Source organism: Homo sapiens, chromosome 10 (assembly GCF_000001405.40).
Source record: "Homo sapiens chromosome 10, GRCh38.p14 Primary Assembly".
In the NCBI taxonomy this organism is placed as follows: Eukaryota; Metazoa; Chordata; class Mammalia; order Primates; family Hominidae; genus Homo; species Homo sapiens.
Genome location: NC_000010.11, coordinates 8118830 through 8133500, shown reverse-complemented (window position 1 = coordinate 8133500; position 14671 = coordinate 8118830). Strand labels below are relative to the sequence as shown.

Here is a 14671-nt window from a genome sequence, read left to right as displayed (position 1 = left end):
CACATGTTGATGTGATCAACGAACACCAACAAATTCTTGTGGTGCCTTCTTCACTGCTCTGTAGATGAATTTCTAACCGACATGACCGACATTTATGGTCAGAATGCTTTCTAGAATGATTCTGCCACTGAGAGTGTGGTTGTGGCCATAATGTCCCTAGACTGAGGTTTCTGGAGTTTCCATTCGTGGTCTGGGCTGAGATGATGTGATTAAGCTTCACATCTGCTACGGGTTTGAGGTGGAGGAAAAAGGGAACTGGAATCGTTCTCACCTCATCAATTCTGACCACATCCTCCCTCTCCAATTACCCCAAGAGAAGGAAAAAGAAAGATACCAGGAGGAGAAAAAGATGACGGGAAGAAATAGAATAGAAGAAAAAAAGAAAAGATCGGGGAAGGGAAGAGAAGAAGGCTGGAGGGAACCTCCAAAATGGATTATTCTCAGAGACGAAAGCTCGGAGCTTAAGTCTCTAAAACACCGAAGCACTAGTGAATCTTTGTTTTCGTTTTTGTTTCTCTTCCCTCCTTTTTTCCTCAAGCTATCTACTAACTATGAAATTTTAAATGACTTATTATCTGTGAGCATTCAAAACAGGGTCTTCAGCAATACATTATGTGTAGTATTGCTTTTGTAAGCACAGCACCCAGGCATACTTGTCATAATGGTGGCATATTAGACAATAACAGCTTCCAGCTGGGCACAGTGGCTCACTCCTATAATCCCAGCACTTTAAGAGATCAAGGGGGGCTAATCATCTGAGGTCAGGAATTTGAGACCAGCCTGGCCAACATGGTGAAACCTCATCTCTACAAAAAATACAAAAATTAGCTGGGTGCAGTGGCACATTCCTGTAGTCCCAGCTACTTGGGAAGCTGAGGCACTTGAACCTGAGAGGCAGAGGTTGCAGTGAGCCGAGATCACACCACTGTACTCCAGCCTGGGCAATAGAATAAGATTCTGTCTTAAAAAAAAAAAGAAAAAAAGAAAAAGAAAAAATAAAGCTTTCAAATAAAGATTTTTTTTTCCTAAATAAGGACACAATATTACTCTGTCATACATATTATTTTTCAAATAATGTTCATTTCTTTGGGGTTTTTTGGCTAGTCAAGTGATATAGTGGGCATAAAGATGGAACAAAGAAACCTGTAATGGGCCGGGCGTGGTGGCTCACGCCTATAATCCCAGCACTTGGGGAGGCCAAGGTGGGAGGATCCCTTAATCTCAGGAGTTCAAGACCAGCCAGGCTACACAGTGAGACCTCATCTCTACTAGAAATTAAAAAATTAGCCGAACATGGTGGCATGTGCCTATAGTCTCAGCTACTCGGGAGGCTGATGCAGGAGGATAGCTTGAGCCCAGGAAGTTGAGGCCACAGTGACCTGTGATCGTGCCACTGCACTCCATCCTAGGCAACAGAGCAAGATCCTGTCTGAAACCCAAATAAAAGAAAAAAGAAAGAAAAGAGATCTGCAACTGGTTGTGATCAATTGACACTCTGCACTCGGACCAGCCTCAGATAAAGTTTCTTTCTAAGTACTTTAAGTAGCCTAGTGGTCCTGGAACCCAGTGAAAGTGGCAAGCAGGGGGTGTAGGCAAGTGCAAGTTAAGGAGTAAAGAGATAAGAAACAGAGCCCCATTCCCTTCATAGCACTGCACACTTCAGAGTATTTTACCATGTCCCTGAGCAACAGGTACACCTTATACCCACAGTGGGGCACAGATTCTCAGAAGCATTGCTATTATCCCATCCACTACTTCCCCTTTCTATTTCAGGAAATATCTGACAAGGAAATTTGCGTAACCTGCCGAAGGCCAGGTGGTGGCTGGGTTGGATGTGTAATTCAAGTGTCCTCCTGTTTCTTTCTAATCCTGTCTTCTGACCACCAGGCAGAATTATCCCTTCCAATGCTACTTTGAGTCACATGGAGTCTACCTCTGCCGAGATCAAAACCACCAGTTCAAAAATGGAAAACCCAGTCGACCAGTTTGTTTCACCTACATGCAACCGAACAACTAGTCGGACGGATCTGAGTCACCAACTGGACTCATTTTTTTTTTCAACGAATGAAACTAACTTTTCTGGCAGGATAGAGACTAAGTCATAATGAGTCACCAGAGCAGAAGTTATGGAACACTATTCAAAATAGCAGGTGATCAGAATATTACCATTTCAAGAGATCATTGTGATGAGACCCTCCCTTAGCCACCAACAGATTGCATGACTGAAAAACATAAATAAAGCCTGTCACTGGCTTTAACAGAATATCCCAGAAAGTGATATCTATAAGCAACCACACTGAGGGGGTTGATAGTTGCTAGTTTCATTCACTCCTGCATTTGCCCATTCATTTGTATTGCATGCCTATTGTGTGCCAGAAACTAAGCTAGATGCTGTGTAGCATTCAAAAATAAACAAACATGGTCCCTGCCATCATGGAGTTTACAATAGAAAATTAGAGATTAGATACAAGTTAGACAAGATAGACCAGGCACAGCAGCTCACACCTGTAATCCCAGCACTTTGGGAGGCTGGAGTGGGAGGATCGCTGGAGCCCGGGAATTCCAGACCAGCCTGGACAACATGGTGAAACTCTGTTTCTACAAAAAATACAAAAAAAATTAGCCGAGCATGGCGGTGTGCGTCTGTAATCCCACCTACTTGGGAGGCTGAGGTAGGAGGATCGCTTGAGCTCAGGAGGCCGAGGCTGCAGTGAGCCGAGATTGTACCACTGAACTCCAGCCTGGGTGACAGTGAGACCATGTCTCCAAAAAAAAAAAAAAAAAAAAAATTAGGATAAAATAAGGGCTAAATTCTAAAAGCCTCTGTATGCATCATGAGATCGTAGAAGAAAAAGTGATTGATCTCAGCAGTGACAGCTCTGCCAGGAGGCATTGGTATCTGATCGAGAAACTCTGGAGCCAGGAGATCCAGGAGCATAGGAACTGAAGCCCTAAATATCCATACTTGAGAACCAACGCCTGATCCAGCGCAGGAAACCAAAGGAAACGAACCCATGGAAGGAGCAACCCAGGTCAAAGACCGAACTACAAATTCTAGCTTCTCCTATAGCTCAAAAAACAGTCAAAGTGAGGGTAAAAGTAATAAACATCAGAGTTTTGAAAAGGAAAAAAAAAAAGAAGTTGTGGGGGAGGTTACATGTTGTTTATTGCCATGTGTAAAGCAATATGCTAGGAGCATTATATAGGTTATCTCATTTAGTCTTTGCAACAATCCTACCAACTGGATATCTTTATTCCTATTTTACAGATATCATCAGTGATCCCTACAGAGCTTTATCAGTGTATGAGGGACTTTCACATGTAGTGTATCATCTAATCCTCACATTTCTTGCCCAATAAGTAGGACAGGAATATCCACTTATGAAGGAAGAAACTGAGGCTTTGGAACCTAAGCAGCTAGCCCAGGAGAGTGGTAAAGCCACTGCGATATTTCCATTCTGTTGCTAGCCTTTCATAGCCAACTACAGAGCCGATTGACCCACTCACTTTCTCCCCAGTTCAGTTTTTATCTATTTTACTAGATAATCAATCCAGTTATCTGAAATCCAGCTGACATGATCCCAGATTTGTAAAAGCAGCCTACAAATGGCTCATGGAAGAGTTGGAAAATTCAGCATTCCCCATTCTTGGAGCAGCCAATGTTGAGTAACATCCCCATAGACCTTTTAGGGATACATGACTGTGCCCTCTTACTTGAGAATGACAGCTCAGTCTGAATGTGTTGTCAGATCTACATAGCCCAAGTGAAGTGCCACAGCCCTGAGAGAATGCAAGATTATTTAGGGAGTATGTTGCAGATTGACCTGGAAGAAAACCAAATCATGATTGCCCAAGTCTCAACAAAACTTAAAAAAAGAAAAAAGCAAGTCTCACTTGGCAACTGTACGAAGACCACACCTTACCCTACACATACCTGGCCTTCATCATTCTTGCATAAGGGTGTTTCAGAACATCCAATAAAACATTTCAAGATAAAGCTCCTTCGACTTTGAGCACTGTTTTAAAAGTCCTCAGGCAAAGCAGGTCCTGAATTTCTCCAAAAACATAATTTAGCAACCATAACAAATAAGCCAGTGATTTGATAGGCTACAGCCCATTGCCAACAGAAAGCTCAGGATCACAATTTCCCATTAAGTATCTCTGTCACAAGGGTATTGACCCATTGAAATTCACCCCAAAGTGTTATTACGAGTCCAAAAAGCATAAAGATACGGGGAACCATGAGAGACGATTTCTCCCATTCCTGCCTCTCAAGAGAGTCACTTTCTGATGAAGAATCACTCTTTTCTCAGAGATCTCCCAAACCAAAAATAAGTCCTAGCCATGGATTTGATTCTGATATGCAACTTGCTCACATCTCAGCAATATTCGAGTCCAAGCTCATACTATAAACAGCTCCCCTGAAAAATAAACACCACCTAAGGCAATAGGCCAAAGACTACAAAAAAAAATTAGTACGAATCTAATGGGAAAAAAGGAAAACAAGCTCTGATGTTCTTGTCTCCCTATATAGCTTTAGCAAGAAAGACTATCTGCCTAGAAAGTCACAAGAACCTACCAAATGAACACACACAGCACCACACCTAGCCCACTGTGTACTTGTACCATAGAGCCAACCATTTCATCACTTTGAGCTCCCATTTCCTCATGTGTAAAATAAGGATAATAATAGCTGTTTCCTATTTACTCTACAATGGTATATGGAAGATTAGCAAGATACTGTTTGTAAAAGTACTTTGATCTCTTCTGAGATAGGGTACTAAGTAAATTTCAGCCGGCGTTACTGCCACACGTTGGCACACATGAAACATGAATGGCCACTGGGCAATAAAGAACTGGTCATCATAAGGTAGAAACAGAAAACAGGATAAGGTGCAAGGAGAGCAGAAATCCAAGATGTGTGATTAGAGTGAAAACAGAGGTCTTACATCTGATCAACAGAAGAACCCAGTGAGGAAACAGAAATGAATATGTCCAAAGAGAGAAGCACATGGCAGGACAACCTGACCCAATTCTTGGAAACCAGTCACCAGATCAGAAATCAAAATAAAGTGCACTGGATGTTTATTCAAGAAGCTCCTAAAATCTGAACGTCTCTAGAAAGGCTTCCCAGCCTCATAGAAACATGGCTAGCCAATTCTCCCATTCTACCCTTTCTGTTCTGGGGAATCTCCTTCTGGAATTTACCGTGATATAATTTGCAGTTTTCCCTGCACTTAGGCTTAATGGGAATGCTGTTTGTGAAGAATTAAAAAAAAAAAGCAAAAAGAAAAGAAACTTTTTTTTGAGACAAGGTCTCCCTCTGTCACCAAGGCTAGAGTGCAGTGGCATGATTATAGCTCATGACAGCCTCAGTCTCCTGGGCTCAAGTAATCCTCTCATTTCAGCCTCCCAAGTAGCTGGACTACAGGTGTGTGCCACCACTCCTAGTTATTTTTTTTTTTTTTTTAGAGAAGGGGTCTCACTATGTTGCCCAGGCTGGTCTTGAATTCCTGGGCTGAAGCAATCCTCCCCAATTGGCCTCCCAGAATGCTGGGATTTATAGTGTTAGTTTCTTCATTTAATATGTTTCTGTGCTATTTTCTGTTTTTTTCCTTCACATTGCTTCATCCCAATATTGTTATGTTTTCTAATATTTTCAGGCAAAGACTCTGTCCAAACAAAATTATTTTGACCAACCCAACTTGTCATTACTTTGCTCAGCCTACATACATTGTGCACCTACTATGTGTCTGAAGGAAGCTAACAGAATGAGTTTTGTGAACAGGTAAGTGCTTAAGCATTTAATCTTAATAGTGATCTTAATAGTTTTATGTTCCTTGTAAGCAATAAAATATTCTCAATTCAGCTGTTAAAAGAAAAAGCGGCAATATATCTGCATGATAACATCAGAACCATCAAAAACACAATGCAAATACTCTAGTGTTGATGCTCTGAACTTCAGAAACATATCCCCATGATGAGTGGGGCAAATGTCACCAAAATTACACTTCGATATTTGTGTTTGTCCTTCTCTGGCCTTCTCCAACTCTAGGACAACTTGAATCCCACAACATATTCAAGAAATGAGGTGGGATGCAATGGTTCATGCTTGTAATCCCAGCACTTTGGGAGGCCGAGATGGGAGGATCAGTTGAGGCCAGGAGTTCGAGACCAGCCTGATCAACATAGCAAAACCCCCATCTCTTATAAAAAAAAATCAAAAAAATAAAAGAAAGAAAAAGAAATGAAACTCTTTTTTGCCAAAGCATGGATGAGGGTGTCTATTTTGTTCTCAAAACTCTTCTGGTGGAACCAGGAAAGACTCAATACCTGAACATCCACCAGGTGCTCAGTAAATAAATCAATATGTTGTGGATTGATTACTTGTCATTCAGGAGTCTCAGAGTGGTCCTGGACCACGATCCAGGTTGCTATGTGAGAACTCCGGGTCAAGGTTTCTGCAACTCAGCTTTGGTCTGTCGCCTGGGTTCATTCATTTCCTCTCGTCCACATAGTAACACAACCTGCTGCTTTTCCGCCTCCTTGCACTCCCCTGGGCTCTCCCTGCTCTTATTCCCATAGCATTTTACTGTCCAAAAGAGCCACCTGTCATTGACACACCTGGAGATTCTATCGTGAGCTCATTATGACAAATGGCCTCGAAAGAGACTGAAGACCAGGCAGAGTAAGCCCAGGCTTCTAGAGTTGTGTTTTTCCATCTTGCATCCTTGTAGTCACAGGGGGTATGTTATGCTATATGAAGAAGAAGATTGAAGTCAGACAAGTCCTAGGTGCTTTTACCTTTACCACATCTCTTCCTGGGTGTTCTGATACAGAACTTTAATTTTCAATATCATCTACATGGTGATGACTCCCAAATTCAGATCTCTAGCCCTGGCTTCCTATCCAATTCCAACTGGATGTCTTAAAGACACTCAAAATTAATGTGTTCAAATGACAACTCATGAGCCGGTCACAGTGGCTTGTGCTTATAGTCCCAATTACTCAAGAGCCTGAGGCAGGAGGATCTCTTGAGCCCAGGAGTTGAAGGTTCCAATGCACCATGATCATACCTATGAATAGCCACTGCACTCCGGGCTGGGCAACCTAGTGAGACCCTGTCTCAAAAAAAAAAAAAAAGAAGGCCAGGCACATTGGCTCATGCCTGTAATCCCAGCACTTTGGGAGGCTGAGGCACGTGGATCACTTGAGGTCAGGAGTTCAAGACAAGCCTGGCCAACATAGGAAAACCCCATCTCTACAAAATAAAGCAAAAATTATCCAGGCTTGGGGGCATATGGTCCCACCTACTCAGGAGGGTGAGGCATGAGAATCGCTTGAACCTAAGAGGTGGAGGTTGGAGTGAGTTGAGACCACACCACTGCTCTCCAGTCTGGGTGACACAGTGAGACCTCTTCGAAAGAAAGGAAAGAAAGAAAGAAAGAAAGAAAGAAAGAAAGAAAGAAAGAAAGAAAGAAAGAAAGAGAGAGAGAGAGAGAGAGAGAGAGAGAGAGAGAGAAAGAAAGAAAGAAAGAAAGAAAGAAAGAAAGAAAGAAAGAAAGAAAGGAAGGAAGGAAGGAAGGAAGGAAGGAAGGAAGAGAGAAAGAGAAAGAGAGAGACAACTTTTGATTTTCCCATCTTAGCCTATCTTCCCATAATCATCTCATTCAAGGAAATCACCATCCACTCGTTTGCTTAAGCAAACAACCTTGACTGAAATATTAAAACATTTAGAAAATAGAGGCTGGGAGATAGAGTAGATTTCTTTGATTTCCTGGGTTGATTCTTTTTATATGTGTAGTATCAGCCCTATGGTAAGAAAGCATAGAAACAAAATAAGTTTTAACAAGACTGCTAGACCAAAATCTCAAATCAAATAGAATAAACTCTCCTATTTTCAATCATATAATGATACAAACTCTTACACATGTGACTTCTTTGGTTCCTTGGAAAACCTCTTAGCCTCTCTATGGTTTAATATAGAAGACAATTGTTTGCACTTTAAGCAAATAAACATGTGTGTTTGGTCCTATGCCCATTTTAGAGCAAAATTTTTTAAATTTCTATATAACATGCCTGATGGATCTTGTGAAAAATCATGTTGCGATACGCAAACGCCTTATCTAAAGTATTATATCCATTATTTTTGGGGAAAAAAAGGTGCTTTTCCATCTCCCCAAGATCCTCGAGTTCAACTAGACATTTCCTATATAAATGTTTTGTTCTGCCTTTTCCTTTTTGGTGGGTGCCCTTTTCTCCCTTCCCCACCACCCGTGCTCCTTCCCAGTCTGCCCCTGGCCTCCAGACCTGGGGATCAGTTGAGGTAGGGTCCCTGGTATTCTGTACCCTCCTCCCTTTGTTTCTGTTGGTTGTCACTCCTGCTGAATGTATTGCTTTTTAATACTGCACTGCAGGTTTTTTTTAAATAAAATAGTTTGGAAAGTAAAAGAGAAAAAAAAAAGTATTATATCCATTTGGTTTGCCTATTACCATAGTTCCTGTTAAGACTTGTTAATATAAAATTGACAGTTTCCAGACTAACCAGCAATCAAACAATGCAAGCAAATGGGGTCATTTGATTCAATCACTAAAACAACTAAAATAGCTCAGACCACTGACTGGAGCACACTAGAGCCACTTCTCGGTAATTCATCTGCATTAACTTCCCACATTCACTATGGTGCTTGGTGCAGATGGAGCCATACAGTGCCCAAAGCCTGAGGCTGACTTTAGAGTCAAACTCCCCTCCATTCATTTTCATATGTCAGGCAGCACCTACAAAAAACAAGAATAAGGCAAGATTTCATGTTCATTTCTTATGCTCTGGTGCTTTTTTTAAATTTATTAATTAATTAATTAATTAATTTATTTATTTATTTATTTATTTATTTTGAGACAGGGTCTTATTCTGTTGCCCAGGCTAGAGTGCAGTGGCACGATCACGGCTTATTGCAACCTTGACCTCCCAGGCTCAAGAAATCCTTCCACCTCAGCTTCCCAAGTAGCTGGGACTACAAGCAAGTGCCATCATGCCTGATTTTCATGTTTTTTGTAGAGACAGCGTATCACTCCGTTGCCCAGGCTGGTCTTGAACTTTGGTCCTGCCTTAGCCTCCCAAAGTGCTGGATTTACAGGTGAGCCACTGCACCCAGCTAGTGCTTTTTTATGTATCTGGATTTCAGAGTAAGCACGCACCTAGGAGTGAAATGGAGTTCCTGAAGACTTTCTTCGGAAAGGCATAGCTCTACCACCAACCAAGTATCTTCTCACTGCTGGGAACTTCAAAGCAAACCCATTAGCTGTCTCTGAGGTTTGTTTTAAAGACTTGGATTGGGCCGGTGATGTGGCTCACGCCTGTAATCCCAGCACTTTGGGAGGCCGAGGTGGGCAAATTACGTGCAGTCAGGAGTTCGAGGCCAGCCTGGCCAACATGGTAAAACCCTGTATCTACTAAAAATACAAAAATTAGCCAAGTGTAGTGGCAGGTGCCTGTAATCCCAGCTATTCAGGAGGCTGAGGCATGAGAATTGCTTGAACCCGGGAGGCAGAGGTTGCAGTGAGCCGAGATCGCAGCACCGCCCTCCAGCCTGGGTGACAGAGTAAGACTCTGTCTCACAAAAAAAAAAAAAGAAAAAGACTTGGGTTGAATGATACTCCATAGAAAATTCATGTTTTTTTCTGTACATGTGTCCTAACTGGTCTCATGTCTGTGGTAACACGACCATGCCTAAATGACCACCTTCTTGGGAACATCATTAGTGCAGAAGCTCTACAGAGAAAAGCAACCTTCCTGAAGACAGTGAGGGCAGGCACAAAAGCTAGGGCAGACTAAAAGATCAGGGCGAGCAGAGCCACCTGGAGTGGGAAGTCATTTCCTCCCTCCTATAGCAACACCAGATGACATGCAAACGCCAGCAAAAATACATTGCTTCCATTGAAAAGTCATGATTCTGTGCATGTACTTCATAACTTTCATCAGCTCCCTAATAGCATTTGGTCTTTGAGTCCTTTTCACGTGTAGGAAACTGGGTCAGTGACCACAGGATACTACCAAGAGAGAGGCTAAGGCAGGAGGATTGCTTGAGCCCGGGAATTTGAGTCCAGCCTGGGCATCCTAGCAACATCCCACCTCTAAGATAGATAGATAGATAGATAGATAGATAGATAGATAGATAGATAGATGATAGATAGATAGATAGACAGACAGACAGACAGATAGATAATTGATAGATGGGTGGATGAATGGATGGATAGATATAGATAATAGATTAGATAGATAGATGATGATGATGACAGATAGTAGAGATAGATGATAGATAATAGACAGATGATCGATAGATGGGTGGATGGATAGTTAGATAGAGATAATAGATAGATTAGATAGATGATAGATAGGTGATAGATATATGATAGATAGATAGATAATAGATGATTGATAGATGGGTGAATGGATGGATAGATAGAGATAATACATAGATAAGATAGATGTTAGATGATGATAGATAGATAGATAGATAGATAGATAGATAGATAGATAGATAGAAGATAGATAGGAAAACCAAGAGTGTAGACTAGCAATGAACCACAGGCTAAAAGGAGCATTTTTGTCTATGGCCCAGTCCCAAAGGAATTAAAGAAAACCCACGTTTCTGTGGATTTGCCAGAGAATGAAAAGAGTCAAGCCAGGATGGATTTGAATGAGTTCCTTCTAAGATGTTGGTGATGTAAACCAGGCGTGTCTAGAAGCATGCAAAGAACAGGCTGCAGGGAAAACTGTTTCCCGCAAAGCAGTGGAGGCGCTCATTCAAATCATACTGACTCTCAATGCAAAGCAGGGTAGGTTTTGTTTTTCTCTTTTTGGCGTTTCCGAAGAAAGCCTAATGGGACCTTTTTCCATCACTTTTCTACAATTCTATCAGAAGCTGTGCAACCCAACAAAACCACATATGGAAACGTGTTTGGGAATTGTAAACTATACACAAATACATGTGGGTACACAAATATGTATATCCACGAGTATGTGCACCAATATATTATTCCACAAAATATGACATTAGAACAATTTCCAAACCATTTTCTACAAACAATGAAATATAATTGTAAAGTCTTAATTCACTAATTTTGTGAACTTTTATTAAGGACCGTGACGTGCCTTTCTCTTCATGGGGCTTTTGGGGTGGAAGACATTCTTTGCCCTCAAAGAGCTCACAGTCCAATGGGGAGGGCAAAGAAGCAGATTCTGTTCAATGTTGGATAAATGTTTTGACACAGATAAACATATGGTTCTGCTGGATGCAGCAAGGGTTGGGCGTGGTGGCTCACACCTGCAATCCCAGCACTTTGGGAGGCTGAGGTGGGAGGATTGCTGGAGCCCAGGAGTTCAAGACCAGCCTGGGCAACATAGCAAGACCCCATCTCCACACACACAAAAAAATATCCAGCAGTAGTGGTGTGCACATGTAATCCTAGATACTCGGGAGGCTGAGACAGGAGGATAGCTTGAGCCCAGGAGTAGTTTAAGGCTCCAATGAGATCAGATTACACCACTGCACTCCAGCCTGGGTGACAGAGACCTTGTCTCTAAAAAATAAAAATAAATCTCCATTCCAGATCTGAGGGCAGGAGGAAGTTTGGGGAAGGCTTTCCTGAAAAGGTGACAAGTGAATCAGGTGAAGGGGTCAGAAAAGGTACAAGATGAAGAGAGAGCTTGCGGAGGGCTGCAGCGTGGCCCACAGGCTGAGAATGAGTGTGTGGACTGAAGACGCCTGTTGCTGTGGCATCCTGTGAAGGTTGCATGCTGTCATGAACAAAGGGAGTAGCTAGTGCAAGTTGCTAACCAGGGGAGAGGCATACTCATATTTGCACAGTAGAAAGCCCCCTCTGGCAGCAATTTGGAGATGACTGAAGTGGGCTGAGATGAAAGACCAAGAGACCTGTTAGGACACTGCTGAAAAAAATCCAAGCTGAAAAAATGATGAAGGCTTGAACGAATGCCATCCGAATACGTCTTCAGGTAATATCAACAGGATTTTACGACCAATTAGAGGTGAATGAGAAGGACTCGTGGCCAACCGCCAGGCTTCCGGTTTGGGTAGCAGGGTGGCTCACAATGCCATTGGCCAAAATAAGGAAATAAGAGTTCCCTCACTCTGCCTGCAGCTCTTTCTGACCTCCGTGTGATTCTAACTCTCATAGTCTCCACAAACTACAGGAAAATTCTGTGTCGATAGCTAATTGCAGTCCACTCCTTTCAGGCAATTTGGATCCTGGCCTTCTTTCTCCAAAAGGTGAGAAGGAGTCAGGAAGAAATTTTAACTGTGTGAGGCAGGTACATGACACGCAAACCAACCAGCCCAGTGAACTGCAGGCCAGGCAGAAATTTCTAAATTTCCAAATTTGTAAATTTTGAAAGGGAAGCAGGATAAAATCCTATGGCAAAAGGAAGAGTTTACTACAGAGGTGCTGGCCTTCACTCAGCATGCAAATGTTTATAGAGGTTGATTCCAAATTCACTAATGTCTTCGCAGAAATAAAGCCAAATTTGTATCTTCACTAAGTATACAGCCAGTGTGTGTGTGCGTGTGTGTAAAATGTATTTATTTTTAGAGTTGGGATTTTGCTCTGCTGCCCAGGCTGGAGTGCAATGGTATGATCATAGCTCACTGTAACCTCAAATTCCTGGGCTCAAGGGATCTTCTCTCGTCAGCCTCCACAGGTGCACAAGCTCACATGGGTGTATAGAATTAAGAGAAAACAGACAATGAAATAGAGGTATTCAATGTATTCTGCTCTGAGATGGGCATTTAGTAAAAAATAATAATAATAAAATACTGTATTCAATGGAAAATGGTATACATCTCAGAAAATATGGCATATCTCCTTGGGTCCTATTTTATACAGTCTTACTTTAGAGCATAAACTATGTTAAGGTTCCCACTCATTAGTTTTTATTGTGCTCAGAATTTCTTGGCTGGGCGCAGTGGCTCACGCCTGTAATCCCAGCACTTTGGGAGGCCAAGGCGGGCGGATCACCTGAGGTCAGGAGTTCAAAACCAGCCTGACCAACATGGAGAAACCCCATCTCTACTAAAAATACAAAAAATGTAGCCAGGCGTGGTGGTGCATGCCTGTAATCCCAGCTACTTGGGAGACTGAGGTGGGAGAATCGCTTGAACCCGGGAGGTGGAGGTTGCAGTGAGCCGAGATCACACCATTGCACTCCAGCCTGGGCAACAAGAGCAAAAAACTCCATCTCAAAAAAAAAAAAAAAAAGAGAGAGAGAGAGAGAATTTCTTCCAGCTCAGTCTGTATTCGTTTGGCTAACATGTCTAGATACACCTCCTATGTTCTGGTTTGGGAACTGTACATTTGAAATGATGGCTGCACCGCCACACAAAGGTGAAAGATTTGGGGAAAGAAATGTTTCCTGATACCTCTGCTTCCCTCTCATGGGGAAGGAAGATCCTGGGACCTACCTGGCGGCAGCATTTGGAAGGATTAATGAGTGTTTGTAGAGCACTCTCAGGTCTGAAGATGAAAGACATCCTATGAGCACACAGTCTAATTGATGTTTGTTATTTTGAATGTTTCACTAAAGGACTTTTCTCCACATAAATGAACACAGCCAGGAGCTTTGAGAAGGACATAGGATTGAAGAGTCTCAAGTGTGGTCTTTTACCAACTTTTTTTTTCAGCAATAATTTCAAACATGGCAATTTCCCACTCAGTAGTGATTATCTCTGCTAAAGAAGAAGACTGGCTGCAGGTGGTGTGATCCTTAGGCTGAGTCTATTTACAGCCAAAACAACCATTTAATTCCATTTCTTCGGTAGTAAATTAATACAGAAATAAATAAATAAGCTCAGGCCTTTGATGGGCTAAATGAGCTACTTTTCTACCTATTTTTAAGCGGTGTTGAAACAGTTTTATTTCTCTTATACATGGGAAATAAATAGATGATCAAACATTTGAACATTATACTGTATATTTGGCTTGGCTTCGTTTTCCAATAAGTTGTTTTCATAATTCAAAGGCTCAAGGGAAAATCAAGTTGGTTCATTCCATTTTCAAGACAGGCCCCATTTTACTTTATAATTTAGCCATAAGTTGTTGACCAATACCCAACTCATTCCCCCACTCCTGGTCAAATGTCTGTGGGTCCCAGGCTAAGGAAGACGCATCAGCGTTAGGTCATACCTGGGCACTAAGGCAATGGTGCTGCCCTGAATCTAAGTAGAAGAAACTTTTTGCTTCTCCCAGGCCAAGCAAGCTAACAGTCTTCCTTTTCCATTCTTCTCTTCTTCATAATAATTCATATTATTTAGGCTGGGCATGGTGACTCACACTTGTAATCCCAGCACTTCATGAGGCAGAGGAAGGAAGGTCATTTAAGGCTAGAAGTTCAAGACCAGCCTGGGGCACATAGTGAAATCCCACCTCAAAAAATAAATAAGTAAAAAAGTAAATAAATAAATAAAAATTCATATTATTTAAGACTGAAGAAGGAGATTACAAACTCAACTTCAAGCACATCCTCCATCAAGCCAGAGAGTTAAGTTCCTAAATCAGCAGATACAAATGAAAGGACATGAGTGACCACAGATTAAATGCCGTCTCTTTTCAGATTTCTTTGAAGTTGCCAACAATGAGAGAAGCAAAGACACTCTAT

General features: G+C 41.9%; 2 annotated features.

The window, feature by feature from the left end:
• Positions 297-356: an enhancer, noted in NCBI's record as "active region_2987". NCBI's record gives its function as "activates an Ori minimal core promoter by ATAC-STARR-seq in GM12878 lymphoblastoid cells {active_cell/tissue: GM12878}" and the evidence as "EXISTENCE:reporter gene assay evidence [ECO:0000049][PMID:35858748]".
• Positions 427-506: an enhancer, noted in NCBI's record as "active region_2986". NCBI's record gives its function as "activates an Ori minimal core promoter by ATAC-STARR-seq in GM12878 lymphoblastoid cells {active_cell/tissue: GM12878}" and the evidence as "EXISTENCE:reporter gene assay evidence [ECO:0000049][PMID:35858748]".